At 39.1% G+C, this 16,894-nt stretch overlaps 1 pseudogene; it reads right to left on the minus strand.

Moving 5' to 3' along the window:
- On the minus strand, nt 12,585-14,040 carry YWHAQP9 (YWHAQ pseudogene 9; annotated as a pseudogene).

Raw genomic sequence — 16,894 nt, forward strand, 5'->3', positions numbered from 1 at the left:
CAGTAAGACACACATGACCCCTTTACTCAGGAAGCTTGTTGTGAAAATAATTTGAAAGATAAATTCCTATTTCAATGGAAAAAATAATAATGAACCAAAACCACACAAGTTCCTAAACAACTGTTTCTTTTGCTGCCTTTTGGAGACAAGAAAACAATAGATTCCTATACACTTTTTAAAATAACATGCTTTTATTTGGAAATTTAAAACCTTAAGATTGTTCATTGAATTATGTATGTCTCCATCATAAAAACTCATCATTATGTGTAGGACTTTGACATTTTTGTAAAATGGAGAAATCTCATAATGTCATCTAGTGACTATTGAATATTGTTCTATATTAACAAGAAATTATTCATGAATTAGTATTTCCTAGGAAATTCTTTTTAATATTATAACATTTCTGATAATGATGTTATTTTGATAATAAGAAATTCAATGTCTCTGTCATTGAGAAACATTAGATGATTAGTGAAATTCACTTATTCTTTACAAAAGTCACTTTTATGTACCATTTTCTTCTTTTCTGTGAAGTCTTCTGATTATTTCCTGGGATTTGCAAAATGGGCTCTAATTTTAGTGTTAGAGGTATTGTCATATTGGAATAAAGAAAAAAATAGAAAAACTCATCAGTATTTTAACTTTTATTTTAATTATCCAAATGTGAGTTTGAACTCCTAATATTTCATTTAGTAGCTATAGTAATTTCAGTAACTCCACAATAAAAATAGGTGCATATAATAACACATCATTTCAAAGAGGCCCTTCTATCATGTGCCTAGAGGCCTAGATATACTGTGTCACAAAGACACACCCATGATTTCTGCTTTTTTTTTTTTTTTTTGAGTAATGGTTTCATTCTGCCACCTAGGCTGTAGTGCAATGGCATGATCACAGCTCATTGCATCCTTGAACTCCTGGCCTCAAGTTATCCTCCCACCTCTGCCTCCTAAGTAGCTGAGACAACAGGCACATGCCACCATTTAAAAAATTTTTTAAATTTTTTTGTAGAGATGGGGTCCCCTTGTGTTGCCCAGGCTGGTCTGGAACTCCTGGGCTCAAGTCATCCTCCTGCCTTGGCCTCCCAAAATGCTGGGTTGACAGGCATGAGCTATCTTATGCCCAGATGATTCCTGCTCTTATAGAGTTGGTATTGGTGTCCTCTGTCCTTCCCCTTGGGGGTGGCATGGGGGCCTTGTCATTCCCCTTGAGGGTGGCATGGGGGCCCTTTTGGGCTGGGCGCAGTGGCTCATACCTGTAATCCCAGCACTTTGGGAGGCCGAGGAGGGTGGATCACGAGGTCAGGCGTTTGAGACCAGCCTGACCAACATGGTGAAACCCCGTCTCTACTAAAAATACAAAAATTATCTGGGCGTGGTGGTGCATGCCTGTAATCCCAGCTACTCAGGGGGCTGAGGCAGGAGAATCGCTTGAACCCGGGAGGTAGAGGTTGCAGTGAGTCGAGATTGCACCACTGCACTCCAGCTTGGGCAACAGAGCAAGACTTCGTCTAAAAAAAAAAAGAAGGCACTTTTACTGGGACATTATGGAAAAATCTTTGCTCCTTCCCACTCCTTGCTAAGAACTATTCTTAAAATCAAGTAAGAAAGATTAAAGATAAAAGGAAATGATCTGGAAAAGTAGTGAAGTGAAAATTCGGTCAGAAAAGGAAGGAAGTAGATGTGTGCTATGTGTATAACCCTGCTGTTAATGTGACGAGTTTTGTATGCTGAATGCTCTGTGTTCTATGTTACTATTTACCTTCACTTAAGACAGATTTCTAATATATTTAAAAGGTTCTGGAGACTCAGGCATATATATGTTTATATATGTTGGGTAATTAGAACTGTGACATCTCTTAAATATACAATTGACCATTGAACAACACATGTTGGAACTTCATGGGTCCATACATGGATTTTCTTCTGCCTCTGACATTGCTGAGACAGCAAGACCAACCCCTACTCTTCCTTCTCCTCCTTCGCAGCATACTCAATGTGAAGGTGACCAAAATGAAGAGCTTTATGATGATCCCCTTCCACTTGATGAATAGTAATACATTTCCTCTTCCTTATGATTTTCATAGTAACATTTTCCTTTCTCTAGTTTACTTTATTGTGGTAATACAGAATATAATACATATACAAAGTATGTGTTAATTGACTGTTTATGTTATCTGTAAGACTTCTGGCCAACAATAGGCTCTTAGTAGTTAAGTTTTGGGGGAGTCAAAAGTGATATGCAGATTTTATCTTATGAAAATCCAGGGTGTGAAGGGATTGGCCCCCAACCCCTGGTTCAAGGGTCAACTGAGTATCTAGGTTGGCTTATATAGTTCATATATTTTCTTCTTGTAATATTTAAGTTTTTTTTTCACCAAACTTCTCCTCTACTTATTTCCTCATACAAAATAATTAAAAATACTCCAAGAAAACAAAAGGTGCTTTGTTCTTTATTTCTCCAAAGCATTTAGCATAAAGTAATCTGTGTGGCAGTCTCTCAATATCTTAGCTGAATAAATGATATGCTTGCAACCTAGTAGGCTTTAAATAAATGTTTTTTTGAATTGCATCACAATTCTTCAGGGTTCTAGATTCTATGGAAACCAGCGTGTCTCTGTCCTACTTTCTTGGTTAAGATATTGGCAGTGTAAACTGAAATATGTCTGTGTTGTTAAAATCATCATGAACACTTTATTCCAGTCTTACAGTACACAGGAAGAAAATATCCACTTGTTCATGGTTTCCGTGAAGACTGATCTTAACCAAGTCACTTCCCATTATTTTATCACAATTTATTGGCTTTACATATTTTCATTTATGTTCCTTAACATGAATCAAAATAACTTCAGGAGACTGTTTCTCCCAGGTGTAACTCTTTGCACAGTGAGAAATTTATTAATCTACTCCAAGGTCCCTGGGATGTTTCATTATACTAATTCAAAGTAGTAGACTTGTTCTGTCTTTATGTGAAAAGAAATCATTTAAGAAAATTTGCCCTTTTAATTAGTTAAAATGCATTAACTGTAATGGAGATTTTTCTCTAATTCGTAGTGGAAGTTTCATTCTAACAATAAGGAAAAAATACCAGTTGTTATATGCATTGATTTATTATTTCTTATAACAGAAACCAATGCTCAGTAGATGTTTATATAATATGTCTTTCATAAAAAGTATTATGTCTCTACAAACTATATGACTCAAATAGATTCCAAATAGAACTATGAGGCTCATAGCACAAAGAAAACTTATAAGAATTTTCAGTGCTCATTATTCTTCTCCTAGATAGAAGAGAGTAAGTAGCATTACTGAATATAGTTCAGCAATATTATACTATTGCAACAGAACTAATGACTTAATAGAGGTATTAATTGTCTTAAAATGTATAAAATTATAAATTTTTTGAGTTACATTATTTCTTGGCATTCTTCGAATCTAAGCCTATTGTTTTGGTAGATGGGGAAAATATTACTGAGCTCGAAATACTCAGCTCATGCATTCAACCCAATGCAATCAGTGATGACAGGCATAGCAGGAACACAGGATAAAGGAACAGCTTATGCTGAAGGAATAAATGCTTCAGCAGCTTTTTTCAAGAAGAAGAAGAGGTTTATGAAAGTGCCTACCCAGAACCAGATGACTAGTGTTTCCAGGAGTGAAAATGATGTGGAGATGAGGAAGAAGTGATTTAGAACTACCTTTGTCAATTTGGGCTGCTATATAAAAACCACCATCAACTGGATGGCTTACACCCAACAGAAGTTTATTTCTCATAGTTCTGGAGGTGAGAGAGTCCAAGGTCAAGGTGCCAGCTAACTATGTGTCTGGTGAACCTGTTTCCTGGTTCTTAAATGGTACCATCTTCCTGCGTCTTCACTGGCAGAAGTGGCAGATGAGCTCTCTGGGGCCTTTTCTTTTTCCTTTTCCCTTTTCTTTTCTTTTGAGACAGAGTTTTTCACTTGTTGCCCAGGCTGGAGTGCAATGGCACAATCTTCAGCTCACTTCGCCTCCTGGCTTCAAGCGATTCTCCTGCCTCAGCCTCCCGAGTAGCTGAAATTACAGGCACCTGCCACCACGCCCAGCTAATTTTTGTAGTTTTAGTAGAGATGAGGTTTCACCAGGTTGACCAGGCTTGTCTCAGACTCCTGACCTCAGATGATCCGCCCACCTTGGCCTCCCAGAGTGCTGGCATTACAGGTGTAAGCCACCATGCCCAGCCTCTGGGGCCTCTTTTAAGTGCACTAAATTCACACAGCACGTCTCATTTTAGGGTGTATGTGGTGCTGTAAATGAATATCACTAGATTTTAGATGTATGTTAATGGCAAGTAGTTTTACATTTGAATCTAAGGCATTATTTATAAGGCATATCCTGTGAGATAATAAATAGGAAGTTCCCTATTATATATTTTACAGTCTTTCTGAATTGTGTGCATGTAAGACCAAGAATATATGAATCAATAAGTCATGATTATTTATGCTAGTTATTCAGACTGGAGTAGTGTTGGCTTTGAACCACAGAGCCACTCTAGAAATGGCTGCTGATAAAAAACTGTATAAAAGGCCATCTGGATTTAGCCTTTAGACTTTGGGAACTGACAGTATCCCACTTTGTTGTCAGTGCTTCAATCATTGCCTTTGACCACTGTCTTACCTAGGATGGTGACGATTCTCCAATTTGGTACAGCACCTACTTCTTAAAGCTTTTTCAAATTTGTAACATATATGATATGGTGCATTGCCACAGCAAAAAAATAAAACAAAAAGGACTACTTGTAGAACATTAGTGAGTGTATCAGCAAATAACCATATGCACTTTTTGGGGTGATGTAATCACCTTCCAAAGGTCTTACCTTCTAATGCCAACACATTGGTGATTAGGTTTTTCTTTTTAAAAAAAAATTAGTATTTTTTTGTTTGTTTGTTTTAGAGACAGGGTATCTCTCTGCAGCCCAGGCTGGACTACAGTGGTGCAGTCATAACTCAGTGTAACCATGAACTCCTGAGCTCAAGAGATATTGTTTAGACTTCAACATGTGAATTTTGGGGGGACCATTCTTCAGACCAAAGCAAGAACCAAAAGACAAAATACAGTGCAAGCCATAGTGATAGCAGAGCAGATAGAGCAGTGAAATAACAGAGAAGCCTTTTTGTTAGGTATCTAGGGGAGATTGATAGAAGTTTCTCCTAGAGAAGGGGGTTTCCTGTTTGTTCAACCATGTAAAAGACATAAAAGGGTCTTGGTGTGTTTTGTGCTGCTATAAGAGAATACTTGAAACTGGGTAATTTATAAAGAACATTTATTTCTCATCGTTTTGGAAGCTGGCAAGTCCAAGACCAAGGTACTGGCAGGTTTGGACATTGGTTCCAAAATTGGGACTTGTTGCTACATGCTCCAGAGGGGAGGCATTCTGTGTTCTCACATGGCAGAAGAGGGAAATCCACTCCTGCAAGTCCTTCTTATAATGGCATTACTCTATGAATGGAGGCAGAGCCCTCATGACCTAAACACCTCCTAAAAGGCCCCACCTCCCAACAAGTTTCCAACACATGAATTTTGGAGGTCTCATTCAGATAATAGAAAAGGCAAATCATGTCTGGAAAATTAAATGTACTTTTAAGCATAAAAATTCTCCACTTTTAGCCAAGTAAAAGAGGTTTTTGTTTTTTGTTTGTTTGTTTTCCCCAAAGGAACTAAATCTACCTTTCTCTTAAAATATCAGGCTTGTGTACAATGAGATCATCATTTTTGAAACTATTTCTTACCTGGTGTGTATGTGTATTCTGGGCACTAAAGTCTTGACTGAAATTGTAAGTTACGACCCATCTGATAATTGAATATCGTATTATACACTGGAGGTGGCATAGAATGGTTCAGCTAGGAGTAAATATGCTGTGATATATTAAGTTCATTCCTACATATATATCCCCAAGGAACTGCTTGAACATATCAACAACAACAACAAAAATGTACAAATTGAAGAATTATGTGTGGTAGCCAGGAGGGAAGGTTGGTTTTCAGAAAATGGTGCTGAGTGAAAAATAAATAGGAGAAAGAGAATGAGATTTGCCTTTGTCCATTTTGTGTTGCTATAACAGAATATCATAGACTGGGTAATTTATAAACAGTTAAAGTTTATTTGACTCATGGTTCTGGAAGCTGTGAAGTTCAAGAGCATAGCCCTAGCATCTGGTGAATTCCTTCATGCTGCGTCATTCCATGGCAGAAGGTGGAAGAGCAAGAGAGGGTGAGAGCAAAAGAGCAAGGGGTACCTGAACTTCCTTTTTTAGCAATCTAGTCTAGTAATAACTAACCCATTCCCATGAGGACATCGATCCATTCATGAGGGCTCTATGCTCATGACCTAATTACTTCTTATTGGCCCATTCCTCAACATTGTTACATCAGGGATTAAGTTTCCAACATATAAACTTTGGGGGACACATTTAAACCATAGCAAGATCTACAATAAAATTTGCACAAATCAGATAAACACATGTTCCATATATTTTGCAAATTCAGTTGTATGTATTGAATGTATTAGGCATTTACCTCTGTCTGAGAGGGTTTGGAGATGTGAGTGAGTTAAAAACAAATAAGTGGCAGGGCGTGGTGGCTCATGCCTGTAATCCCAGCACTTTGGGAGGCCAAGGTGGGCAGATCACGAGGTCAGGAGATCAAGACCATCCTGGCTAACACAGTGAAACCCCATCTCTACTAAAAATACAAAAAATTAGCCGGGCGTGGTGGCAGGGGCCTGTAGACCCAGCTACTCAGGAGGCTGAGGCAGGAGAATGGCGTGAACCCAGGAGGTGGAGCTTGCAGTGAGCCGAGATCGCGCCACTGTACTCCAGCCTGGGCGACAGAGCAAGACCCTGTCTCAAAAAAATAAATTAAATAAATAAATAAATAAATAAATGAGTAAAAAATGAGCAATAAGTATGGTAAAAAAATCGATAACTGCAAGAAATTGAGGAATATATGTTTTTTCCAACTTTAATATCTTAAGTCAAAAGAACATAAGGTAGAAAGAAAAAGAGAAGAAAGGAGGGAAGACAGGACGAAAAAGGAAGGAAGTTTTGTAGTATATTGATGGATTCCTTCACTGTAGAACAAGATAAATTGGAAGATGCTAAACATGCTCTACGGAATTTTACAGTTTACTGAACAGTTAATAAGAAGGCCATAAGTATTCATTGTCTTCACTCCCTTGACCTTGCCTGCCTATCTTCCTTCCCATAAAATAAACTACAAACAATCCTTTTTCAATCATTATTGAAAAGGAAACGGAAGCATATTAAAGAGATATGTGCGTCTAAGGCTGAGCCATTTCTCTAGGAGAAGCATGTGCTGTCATTTGCTGATAATGTTCTACATGTGATGCCACATTTTCCAATTTGCTAAAAATTTGTTTAACATTTGCAATTTATAATGTTTAAGGAGCACGTTTACCCGATTAGAGAATATACCTATGGACAGCTCAGAATTCAAACAACTGAAAAAACAGATTTTGGCTTATTTAGAAAAATTTAAAATATAGAGCTGGGCATGGTGGCTCATGCTGGTAATCCTAGCCCTTTGGGAGGCAGGGGGATCAATTGTGCCTAGGAGGTTGAGGCTGCAGTGAGCTACGATTGTGCCACTGCACTCTAGCCTGGATGACCCTGCCTCTAAGAAAACGAAACAAAACAAAACAAAACAAAACAAAACAAAACAAAACAGCAATCCAGAAAGCCCCATGCAAAACTGTATACTTGCAAGCTCTGACCATGCAAAATAAAATACAATTGAGGAAATTATTTGGAGCATATAGATAGAAAATGTACTGAAGGATGTAGTGCCCTGTCCTTTTCTCCCTTCAGGATGAAGGTGCTTGTTCTCCTGCGACTGGCTGGCTAGGAATCCCTCTGTGGAGTCCTACTCTAGGCATTGCGTTGACTAAAGGGGGCTGCCTCCTTGAGGGAGGCCCCCACCCTAAGCAGCTTGCATCCAAAAGCTTGGTTCTGTGAGGTCCACATCTTCACACCTAAGGGAAGAACAACTCTGAGGGGCTTTTCCAGATGGTCTCTGCTGAAGCTGTTGTGAGGCCTTCATGAAGCCCTGCATCCAAGCTCAACTTTCTCTCCTGCTAATTTTCTTCTCCCAGGTTGATCCCGAGTGCTGCCCCATTAAGGCCACTACACCTGATTCTCCATGGACTCTGTTTCCCATGGGGGAACTGGAACTAAATAATAATTTAATAAATTAATTATAATTTATTATAATTAATAAATTATAATAAAATAATAATAAAAGAAATTCCCAATGATGGAAAAGAAACATTTGAGATGACTAGATGTCTTGTCACCAACACTGTTATGCTGACTTCGGTTCTGGAAAAGAATGATAATCACAATCATAACAATGATACTACTGCTAACAGAGTTATGGCTTTGTGTTAGGTACTGTCTTAAACAATAGAATTACAGAGACTGGTAAGACATGGCCCTTGGCCTAGAGAATCTTAGGATGAGTGAAACTTCTAAACAATTATTTAATGGCAAATTTTCTTTTATCTGTGTAGTTGTGTCTTTGGCCTGTTCTCATCACAAGAAAGTTGAGCTAGACCGTGAAATATCTGGAATATATATTAATAAACTGGTAGGTTTTTCAGTCATCTTTTAAAGCCTGGAATCAGTGGAGAAGATAATTTAAAAATTTATACTTATATTACCTAGAGTGGAATTCCAGCTTTTATTTATTTTTGTTTTGCCAGCCATAATATGCTATCAAATTACTTTTCATTTAGTAAGTAAGTCCCCATCAGCTTAGGCTGCTAAGACACAGGCAAAATCTTCCAGGGAACAAAATATGTATCCTGGATGAATAATTCAGAAGTAATTAAGGTTGAAATATTTGTATCAGGTTTTCTTCCTAAAATCTTGCACTTTGAATGCGTTGCATTGCATAAGCACAGAGAATTCCAATGACTTTTTAAAGATTTCTTAAAACGATTTGTTAATGAAAGTACCTCTTTAGGAGATAAAGAGGGAGAAGACCTTAATTATAATCTGGTAGAAGAAAAATATATATATGTAACCTAGATACCCTGGGATACAAATAGAAAACAGTATGCTATAATTGATATTACAGTTCTATATCAAAAACCTTAACTTTAAAAATAAGTTTTATTTCAGTATCTTTAGGGGTACAGGTGGTTTTGGTTATGTAGATTAATTTTGTAGTGGTGAAATCTGGACTCTAAGTGTACCTGTCACCCAAATAGTGTACATTATACCCAACAGGTAATTTTCCATCCCTTCCCCCCAATCCCCCTTCCCCCTGCTGAGTCTCTAATGTCCATTATACCACTCTGTATGCCTTTGCATACCCATAGCCTAGTTCCCACTACAAGTGAGAACATGGAGTATTTGATTTTCCATTTCTGAGTTACGTCGCTTAGGAAAATGGCCTCCAGTTCTGTATAAGTCACTGCAAATGATATTATTTTGTTTTTCTATGGCCCAGTAATATTCCATGGTGTATATGTACCATATTTTGTTTATCCACTCATTGGCTGATGAGCACTTAAGTTGATTCCATATCTTTGCAATTGTGAATTGTGCTGCAATAAGCATATGTGAGCAGATGTCATTTTTATATAATGAATTTCAAAAACATTAAATTTATCAAAGATACGTGATTTCAAAAAATGGAACCCAGTCAGTTTATCAATAGAATAGAAAATAAGTCAGTAAATTTCAGACACCTCTGGATGTGGGACTAGATTGATCTTCCTGCTGAATTTACAGATGTGAAGGGGATGATCAAATTGGCTGAGTTGACTGATTCTCACTGTCAAGGGCAAATTCAAGAGGGATTGGGGGCACAACAAGGAGGAGTCTCTCAAATGTTGAAGATCATCAGGAGTCCTCAGAGAGCCCTGTTGTCCCATGGTAACTGTATTAGTCCATTTTCGCGCTGCCGATAAAGACATACCTGAGGCTGGGTGATTTATACTGAAAAAGAGGTTTAATGGACTCACAGTTCCACGTGGCTGGGAAGGCCTCACAATCAGGGTGGAAGACAAAACGCACTTCTTACATGGCAGCAGGCAAGACAGAATGAGAGCCAAGCAAGAGCAGTTTCCCCTTATAAAACCGTCAGCTCTCGTGAGACTTATTCACTCCCGTGAAAACAGTATAGGAAAAACCACCCCCATGATTCAATGATCTCCCACTGGGTCCCTCTCGCAATACGTGGGAATTTGGAAAGCTACAATTCAAGATGAGATTTGGGTGGGGACACAGGCAATCTGTATCAGTAACCATGCCAACAAAGGACACAAATCCTCAAGAGTAAAGGTTTGGGTCACCCCAGCTGGCAGCAAACCACAGCATTCCTGCTGAATATAAAAGGAACATGGAATGGGTAGAAGAAAATGTGGTAACTTCATCAATATTCATCCAGTTTTAAAACATTTCCAGTTTTTTAAAAAGGCCTAAAATATTTATGAGTATTTTTCCTTCTTATAATACGAATGTAATTGTAAATATATTAACCAATTCTTTTTCTCCCCAGCCTCCATTTTCTTTTTATCTAACGTGATGTATTAATAATGGATAACCTTATATTTCAGTATTTAAGATATAGGATAACAAAGGCAGTGATAACAGCAGTAAACACTAACCAGGGATGGACAAAGTGCATGTTTTCATATCCTCTTTTGGGGGGCATTAGCATGTGTTTGGTCGTATGACGGGTAGTTGCATCATACTGGGTAAAAGGGTGATTTTGCCAATGTCTCTATCTGGAAGATAAACATGGGTAAAGCAGGTGTTTGTGGATGCCATGTTGATAAGGAGCAGGTTGTACAGGATTGTCCTGGGCCACCTTGGCTAAGGCTGGAAACTACTTTTCCTAGAACCCCTTTCCCTAAAGATATCTGGATTAGAGAGCCATAAAGGAAGGGAAGAAGCAGCCACTCACCTCAGAAAGTGAATGTAGGCAGATTCAGCAGGGGACGGCATCTCCCAACACTTTACTCCATGCTCAACTGGCTTTCCAGCTATGACTCTACTGACCAACAACAACCCCTGGGCTAACCACCAGGCAGACACATGTCAATAAGCCCTAAAGACTGTGGCCACACAGAGGTGGCAACTTCTAGGCCTCTCATGAGCTCCCCTTCCCTGTCCCATCTTGGCAGCTAGACATGCTTATGTCTCAGTCTGCTCAGGCTGCTACAATGAAATAGCATAGGCTGGGTGGCTTAAACAACAGACGTTTCTTTCTCATAGTCCTGGAGGCTGGGAAGTCCAAGGTCAAGGTCCCAACTGATTTGGTTCCTGGTGAGGGCCTGCTTCCTGGCTCACAAATGGTTGTTTTCTTGTTGAATCCTCACATGGCAGAAAGAGATAGAGAGAGAGAGGGAAGAAAGAAGAGAGGGAGAGCTCTTCTCTTTTTATCTTCTTATAAGGGGCACTAATTCTATGACGAAGGCTCCATCCTCATGACCTATTTACCTCCCAAAGACCCCACCTCGGAACATCATCACATTGGAGGTTAGGGTGTTAACATACGAATTTTGAAGAGTCACATTCATCAGTCTATAACGCTCTTGAGATCCCCTGGAAGCCTGATTATTATGTTTCTGATGGATTGATTAGTGAGAATTACTCTTATTTCCCGACTCCCCTTCCCAGGTGTTAAGTTCCCCAGCTCCTTTCACCTTTATGTAATGTGTAATTCCTGTAATAAATCTGCTATTCCCAAAATACCCACAGGGGCTCCAATTCCCGGCTGAAGCATGTGTGAAGCAGGTGGGATGGGAAGAAGCATGGCTACTTTTCAGAGAGGCAAGAGGTGAGCTGGTCGGGAGAGTTGTCAATATGTTGAGAAGTAGTTAAAAATATGTTTGTGTTTGCCACAGAGTGGGGCTGGATTAGGGAGGACCTTGAAGGACGCAGTTAGGCATTAGATTTGGTGGCAAGTCAGAAACCGCCACTGGCCCCTTGACAAGTGAAATAAGAGGGAATCTGTAAAATCATAGGCTAGTGGCTTATCTTCCAAATTGGAAAATATGGGAAATATATGGTAGAAAGTTAATATAATCAAGCATATTAACAAAAATCATTGATTTTTTGAAGAGAAATATCAGAAATACTTATTGTGATAAATTGATATAGACATTAGAAATTTCATGAAAAGTTCTCACACTCAAGAGAACATGCAACATGCTCATTTTCTCATATAGAATGCAAGAGCTTAGAAATATGAAACCAAAGCTTGATAAATGAGCAATTTCTTTTCTAGACAGAGAAATGGGAAAGTTGGTCTTGGGAATACATGCCAAAACTAGGCATTTTTCATTTTTATAAATAATAAATAGTAAGCAATGCACCATGATGACACTCCAGTAATGTTTCTCGTGCATCAGAGTATGTCCTATGAGAACCTGTTTCTAAAAAAAGTGTGTGGGTAAAAGCTATACACTATATTCCACTTTGGGAATTCGCAGTACACCTGAGATATTAGCGTATAAAGGGCTCTGAACAGATGTGAAGTAGAGAAACCTGTTAATTTTGTCTAACCCGGTAGGTTTTTTTTTCAAGTTTTAAAATGCCCACTTTATTCCATATAACACTTAACCAGATGTCATTTACCTCTGAGGGAAAGATAGCCCTGAGACTGATCCACCATAAAACATTTACTGGAAGAAATGTCTGATTTTATGCATTTCAAGGCATCATGAGACAAGTGTCTCATCATGCAGAAACATGGGTATCATGACTACATTTTACATAAAATAAAAGGAAACTATCAATAAACTTCAGAAAGTTGTAAATTCAACTACTCCCTAAAATATGGTCATGCAGTTGTTACAAAGACATAGTAAATGTTTCTGGTATGCAGTTTTCTTTTATGTTACTCTGCTGTTGCATAGGGCATAACATTTACCCAAGGTTTTTTTTAAACTACAGACAATGTTTAGCAGCACTCAGCGGTGGGTCACCTCTCTCAATGGCCATCACTGGACAAATTGGACACCCTCCCACCCGCACACATATATGCATAGAAAAATACTCAAGTTTTAGACTTGGACCTGTGTACTTTAATTAACTTGCCCTTTCTAGTCTATTAGAAAATGATATGCACTTTAGTCTGCCAAAAGCAATGCTTGCATTCTGGCAGCAATGTGTTATTGCTTTTACATAGTAAAGCGGATAAGAGAACTTCAAAGGCAGGAGGTAAGTTTTTAATTTAAACAGCAGCAAATAAAGAGTAAATTAGAAAACTGCTGTCACAAATATCCATGATCTCCATAACGTATATAATACAGGAGGCATTTCAATTTGTGATCTCCAGCCTAGAAGTGTCAGAGGCTTTCCCATTCAGTCTAATATTTCTGGATTCTTGCCACAAGTGAATACATTAAAATTATGGAAGAGTTGCTTACTGAAAGGAAATCCCTGAAAAATAATAAGGGAGGAAATGTAGAAACTCATGTCATTTAGAACACTCTTTAATTATAATGAACTAGATTTCCATATATTTGAAGTAATACCAAACACAGTCACTTGTAGAACTAGTCCAGATTCTTTAAATACCAGATGCATTTTTAGTCTTCTTTGTAAGTGTGTGGAAGTTACTTATGTTTATATGAAATGAGGTTATTCATAATTTTCTGCAGTAGTCACTATAAACCAGAAAGACTGAGACAAGCAGAAATCAAGACATGGAGTCTCCCAGAGCTGCAATGAGAAACAGACTGTAACAGCTGATTCCATACACATGAATGGGTTTCTTTTCTATAGGAAATCCCAGTGAAATAAGGAGTGGAGATGTCTAGAGGGTTCCTCGAGGAGAAGGATGCTCCCAACATGCATTTAGCTTCCTCTCCCTCTGCTGTAGCACATTCTTCTCCTGCATGGTCTTCCTTCAAGTTTGGTTGATTCTAAGGCCTGAATGATGAGGGTGTTGTCTTTGTAAGTTTTCATTCTGTCAAAAGTCATTTTGGTCAGTGTGTGGGCAAGTTCTGCATTATTAAAAATCACCTAGTGGCTGGGTGCAGTGGCTCATGCCTGTAATCCCAGCACTTTGGGAGGCCAAGGCGGATGGATCACCTGAGGCCGGGAGTTCGAAACCACCCTGACCATCGTGGAGAAACCCTATCTCTACTAAAAATACTAAATTAGCCAGGCATGGTGGCACATGCCTGTAGTCCCAGCTACTCAGGAGGCTGAGGCAGGAGAATCGCTTGAATCTGGGAGGTGGAGGTTGCTGTGAGCCGAGATTTCGCCATTGCACTCCAGTCTGGGCAACAAGAGCAAAACTCAGTCTCAAAACAAACAAACAAACAAACAAAAATCTCCTAGCAAAATCCAGTAAAGTTAAGAGCTAGCCCCAGGCAACTTGTTTGTGTGGCTCCCATCTCTGCCTTGCTATTTCAAATGCCTCTTGGTAAGCAGGCTCCTTGGGAATTATCTGTGATATGTTTTCAATCATCATCCCATGCAGTGTCAGCAAGGTAATGGAATTAATTTTCCTTCATTTTGGGAAAAAGACCTTGCTTTCTGAATCAGTTATACTGGCTATTAAATACATATCTGACACTTCCAGGACTAGGATGGGAATGCAGATGGATCTCAGGTTAGGCTTCACTTTCTCCAGATAGTCCTTTATCAACTGGTGTTTCTTATCTCTTTTCTGCTTGATGCTCTTGATGCCCTACAGGTGGACCTGCGGCAATGGCACCACCTTCGCCTTGGGGCAAGGGGATGGCCTGCTGCATTGTTTTCTCTGTAGCAGGGTGGCTGCATGCTGTGGTGGCCAGCACTGCCTGGATGAGACAAGTATGTATCATGACATTTTACATAAAATAAAGGAAAACTATCAGTACACTTCAGAAAGTGGTAAATCAAACTATCTCTCTTTTTTTTTTTTTTTTTTTGAGATGGAGTCTCACTCTGTTGCCCAGGCTGGAGTGCAGTGGCATGATCTCAGCTCACTGCAACTTCTGCCTCCTGGGTTCAAGTGATTCTCCTGCCTCAGCCTCCTGAGTAGCTGGGATTACAGGCACCTACGACCATGCCCAGCTAATTTTTGTATTTTTAGTAGAGACTGGGTTTCACCGTGTTGTCCAGGCTGGTCTCGAACTCCTCACCTCAGGTAATCCGCCTGCCTCGGCCTCCCAAAGTGCTGGGATTACAGGCATGAGTCACTACACCAGGCCAACTATCTCTTAAAATATGGGCACGCACAGGTGTGGTGGTGGGCGCCTGTAATCTCAACTACATGGGAGGCTGAGGCAGGAGAATCACTTGAGCCCGGGAGGCGGAGGTTGCAGTGAGCCGAGATCATGCCATTGCACTCCAGCCTGGGCGACAGAGTGAGACTCTGTCTCAAAAAAAAAAAAAAAAAAATGCGGGCATGCAATTGTTACAAAGGCATAGTAAATGGTTTCTAGTATGTAACCTTATCTACGAACTAGAAATCTGCACTTTATCTCTGTGAAGCCCACCAGAGTCCCATCACTCTGATCTGCACTGGTCTTCAGTGGCAGACTCTCCTGTCTCCAACCCAGTGCATTTAAAACATTTTGAAAATTGTTTCATTAGTGCCTTCCAGGTAGTGAAAAACCAACCTGTGAAGGGAAAAGGTTGAAAAAAGGTATTGAATAGATGGGGGTAAGTTTAAAACTTGGTCTGTAAATTTTATTGAGACTCTGTTGAAAGTGCTTAGGGATGAAAATAATCCAATATGTATGAGTTTATATACGCAAAATATATGTTTATTGTATTTTGTGCATAAAATGTACATATTGAATTATTATGTGTGTATATATACATATACAGTACATACACATTTTCTCACACACATACACAGACACACACACACACACATTCAATAGATGGCTCTGAGTCATGACTAGGAAAGACATTTTAAATTGCTCCCAGAAAACGTAATCTCAAAATAATTGTAGAACAGAAAAACGATTTAAAAAAAAGTGCTATCATTAATGAGACCACTGAAAAAAGAAAATGACTTAATTCTAAAACTTAAATTTGAAATATTCTGGAATGTTCTGTGCATTTACTATTAACTTAGCAAATACTATATGCAGTATAGGTGGTGTGGTAGAGCAGAAAACAAAGCAGAACATACCCATTCTCCTGGAACTTGAATTTTAGTGAGAAGAGAGGGGAAACAGGCAGGCAGAGATATGATGTATATGGTGGTGCTATCGTGCCCAAGACAACCTTAATGCTGCCTTCAGCTTGATTCAGCTTTAGACAGGCTTCTTCCTGACTCTTGTTCCCTGATCTCCCTTTTCTTGAAAATGTGTTTAATTTGTAAATTCCTTATCTGCCTTTTTGAGATATTATAAATGCCTTCTGCTGGTTTTGCAACCCAGGAATATCTTTTTCAAAGACCTGGGAACCATCTCTTTGAAATCCAATTGGCAAGGAAGACAGCATCCCTGTCTACCAGCCTCTACAAGAAGGCAAGAGCCTAACCTTGGTGGGGCACCTTGCTCCAAGTTGTAAAACTGCCTCCTGTCACAAGGACATGAGAAAATTTACTTTTCCCTTGGGTAAAGCCAATTCGCAAAAACAGGTGTGGCCTAAGGTCCCTCATCCCAGATTTTAAGGATTCTCCAACCATTCATTTCATCTAGAGCTGGGCTGTGTTTTCTTCCCTATGCTGGCAATAATACTGGAATAAAATCAACTTCTATTTGCTTATCTTACCTGGTACAATTTTATTTTAACAAATGGAGGGTAAGGAGTCAGAGAGTTTGGCAGGTCAGGGTATGTGTTATAAAATGTGATTAGAACAAAAATTTTTGACACATGTCATATTTGGGCAGAGAATTAAGTGATGTGAGGGAGTGAGCTGTGTGGATCTGCAGT

The sequence above is a fragment of the Homo sapiens genome, chromosome 1, assembly GCF_000001405.40.
Source record: "Homo sapiens chromosome 1, GRCh38.p14 Primary Assembly".
Classification (NCBI taxonomy): domain Eukaryota; kingdom Metazoa; phylum Chordata; class Mammalia; order Primates; family Hominidae; genus Homo; species Homo sapiens.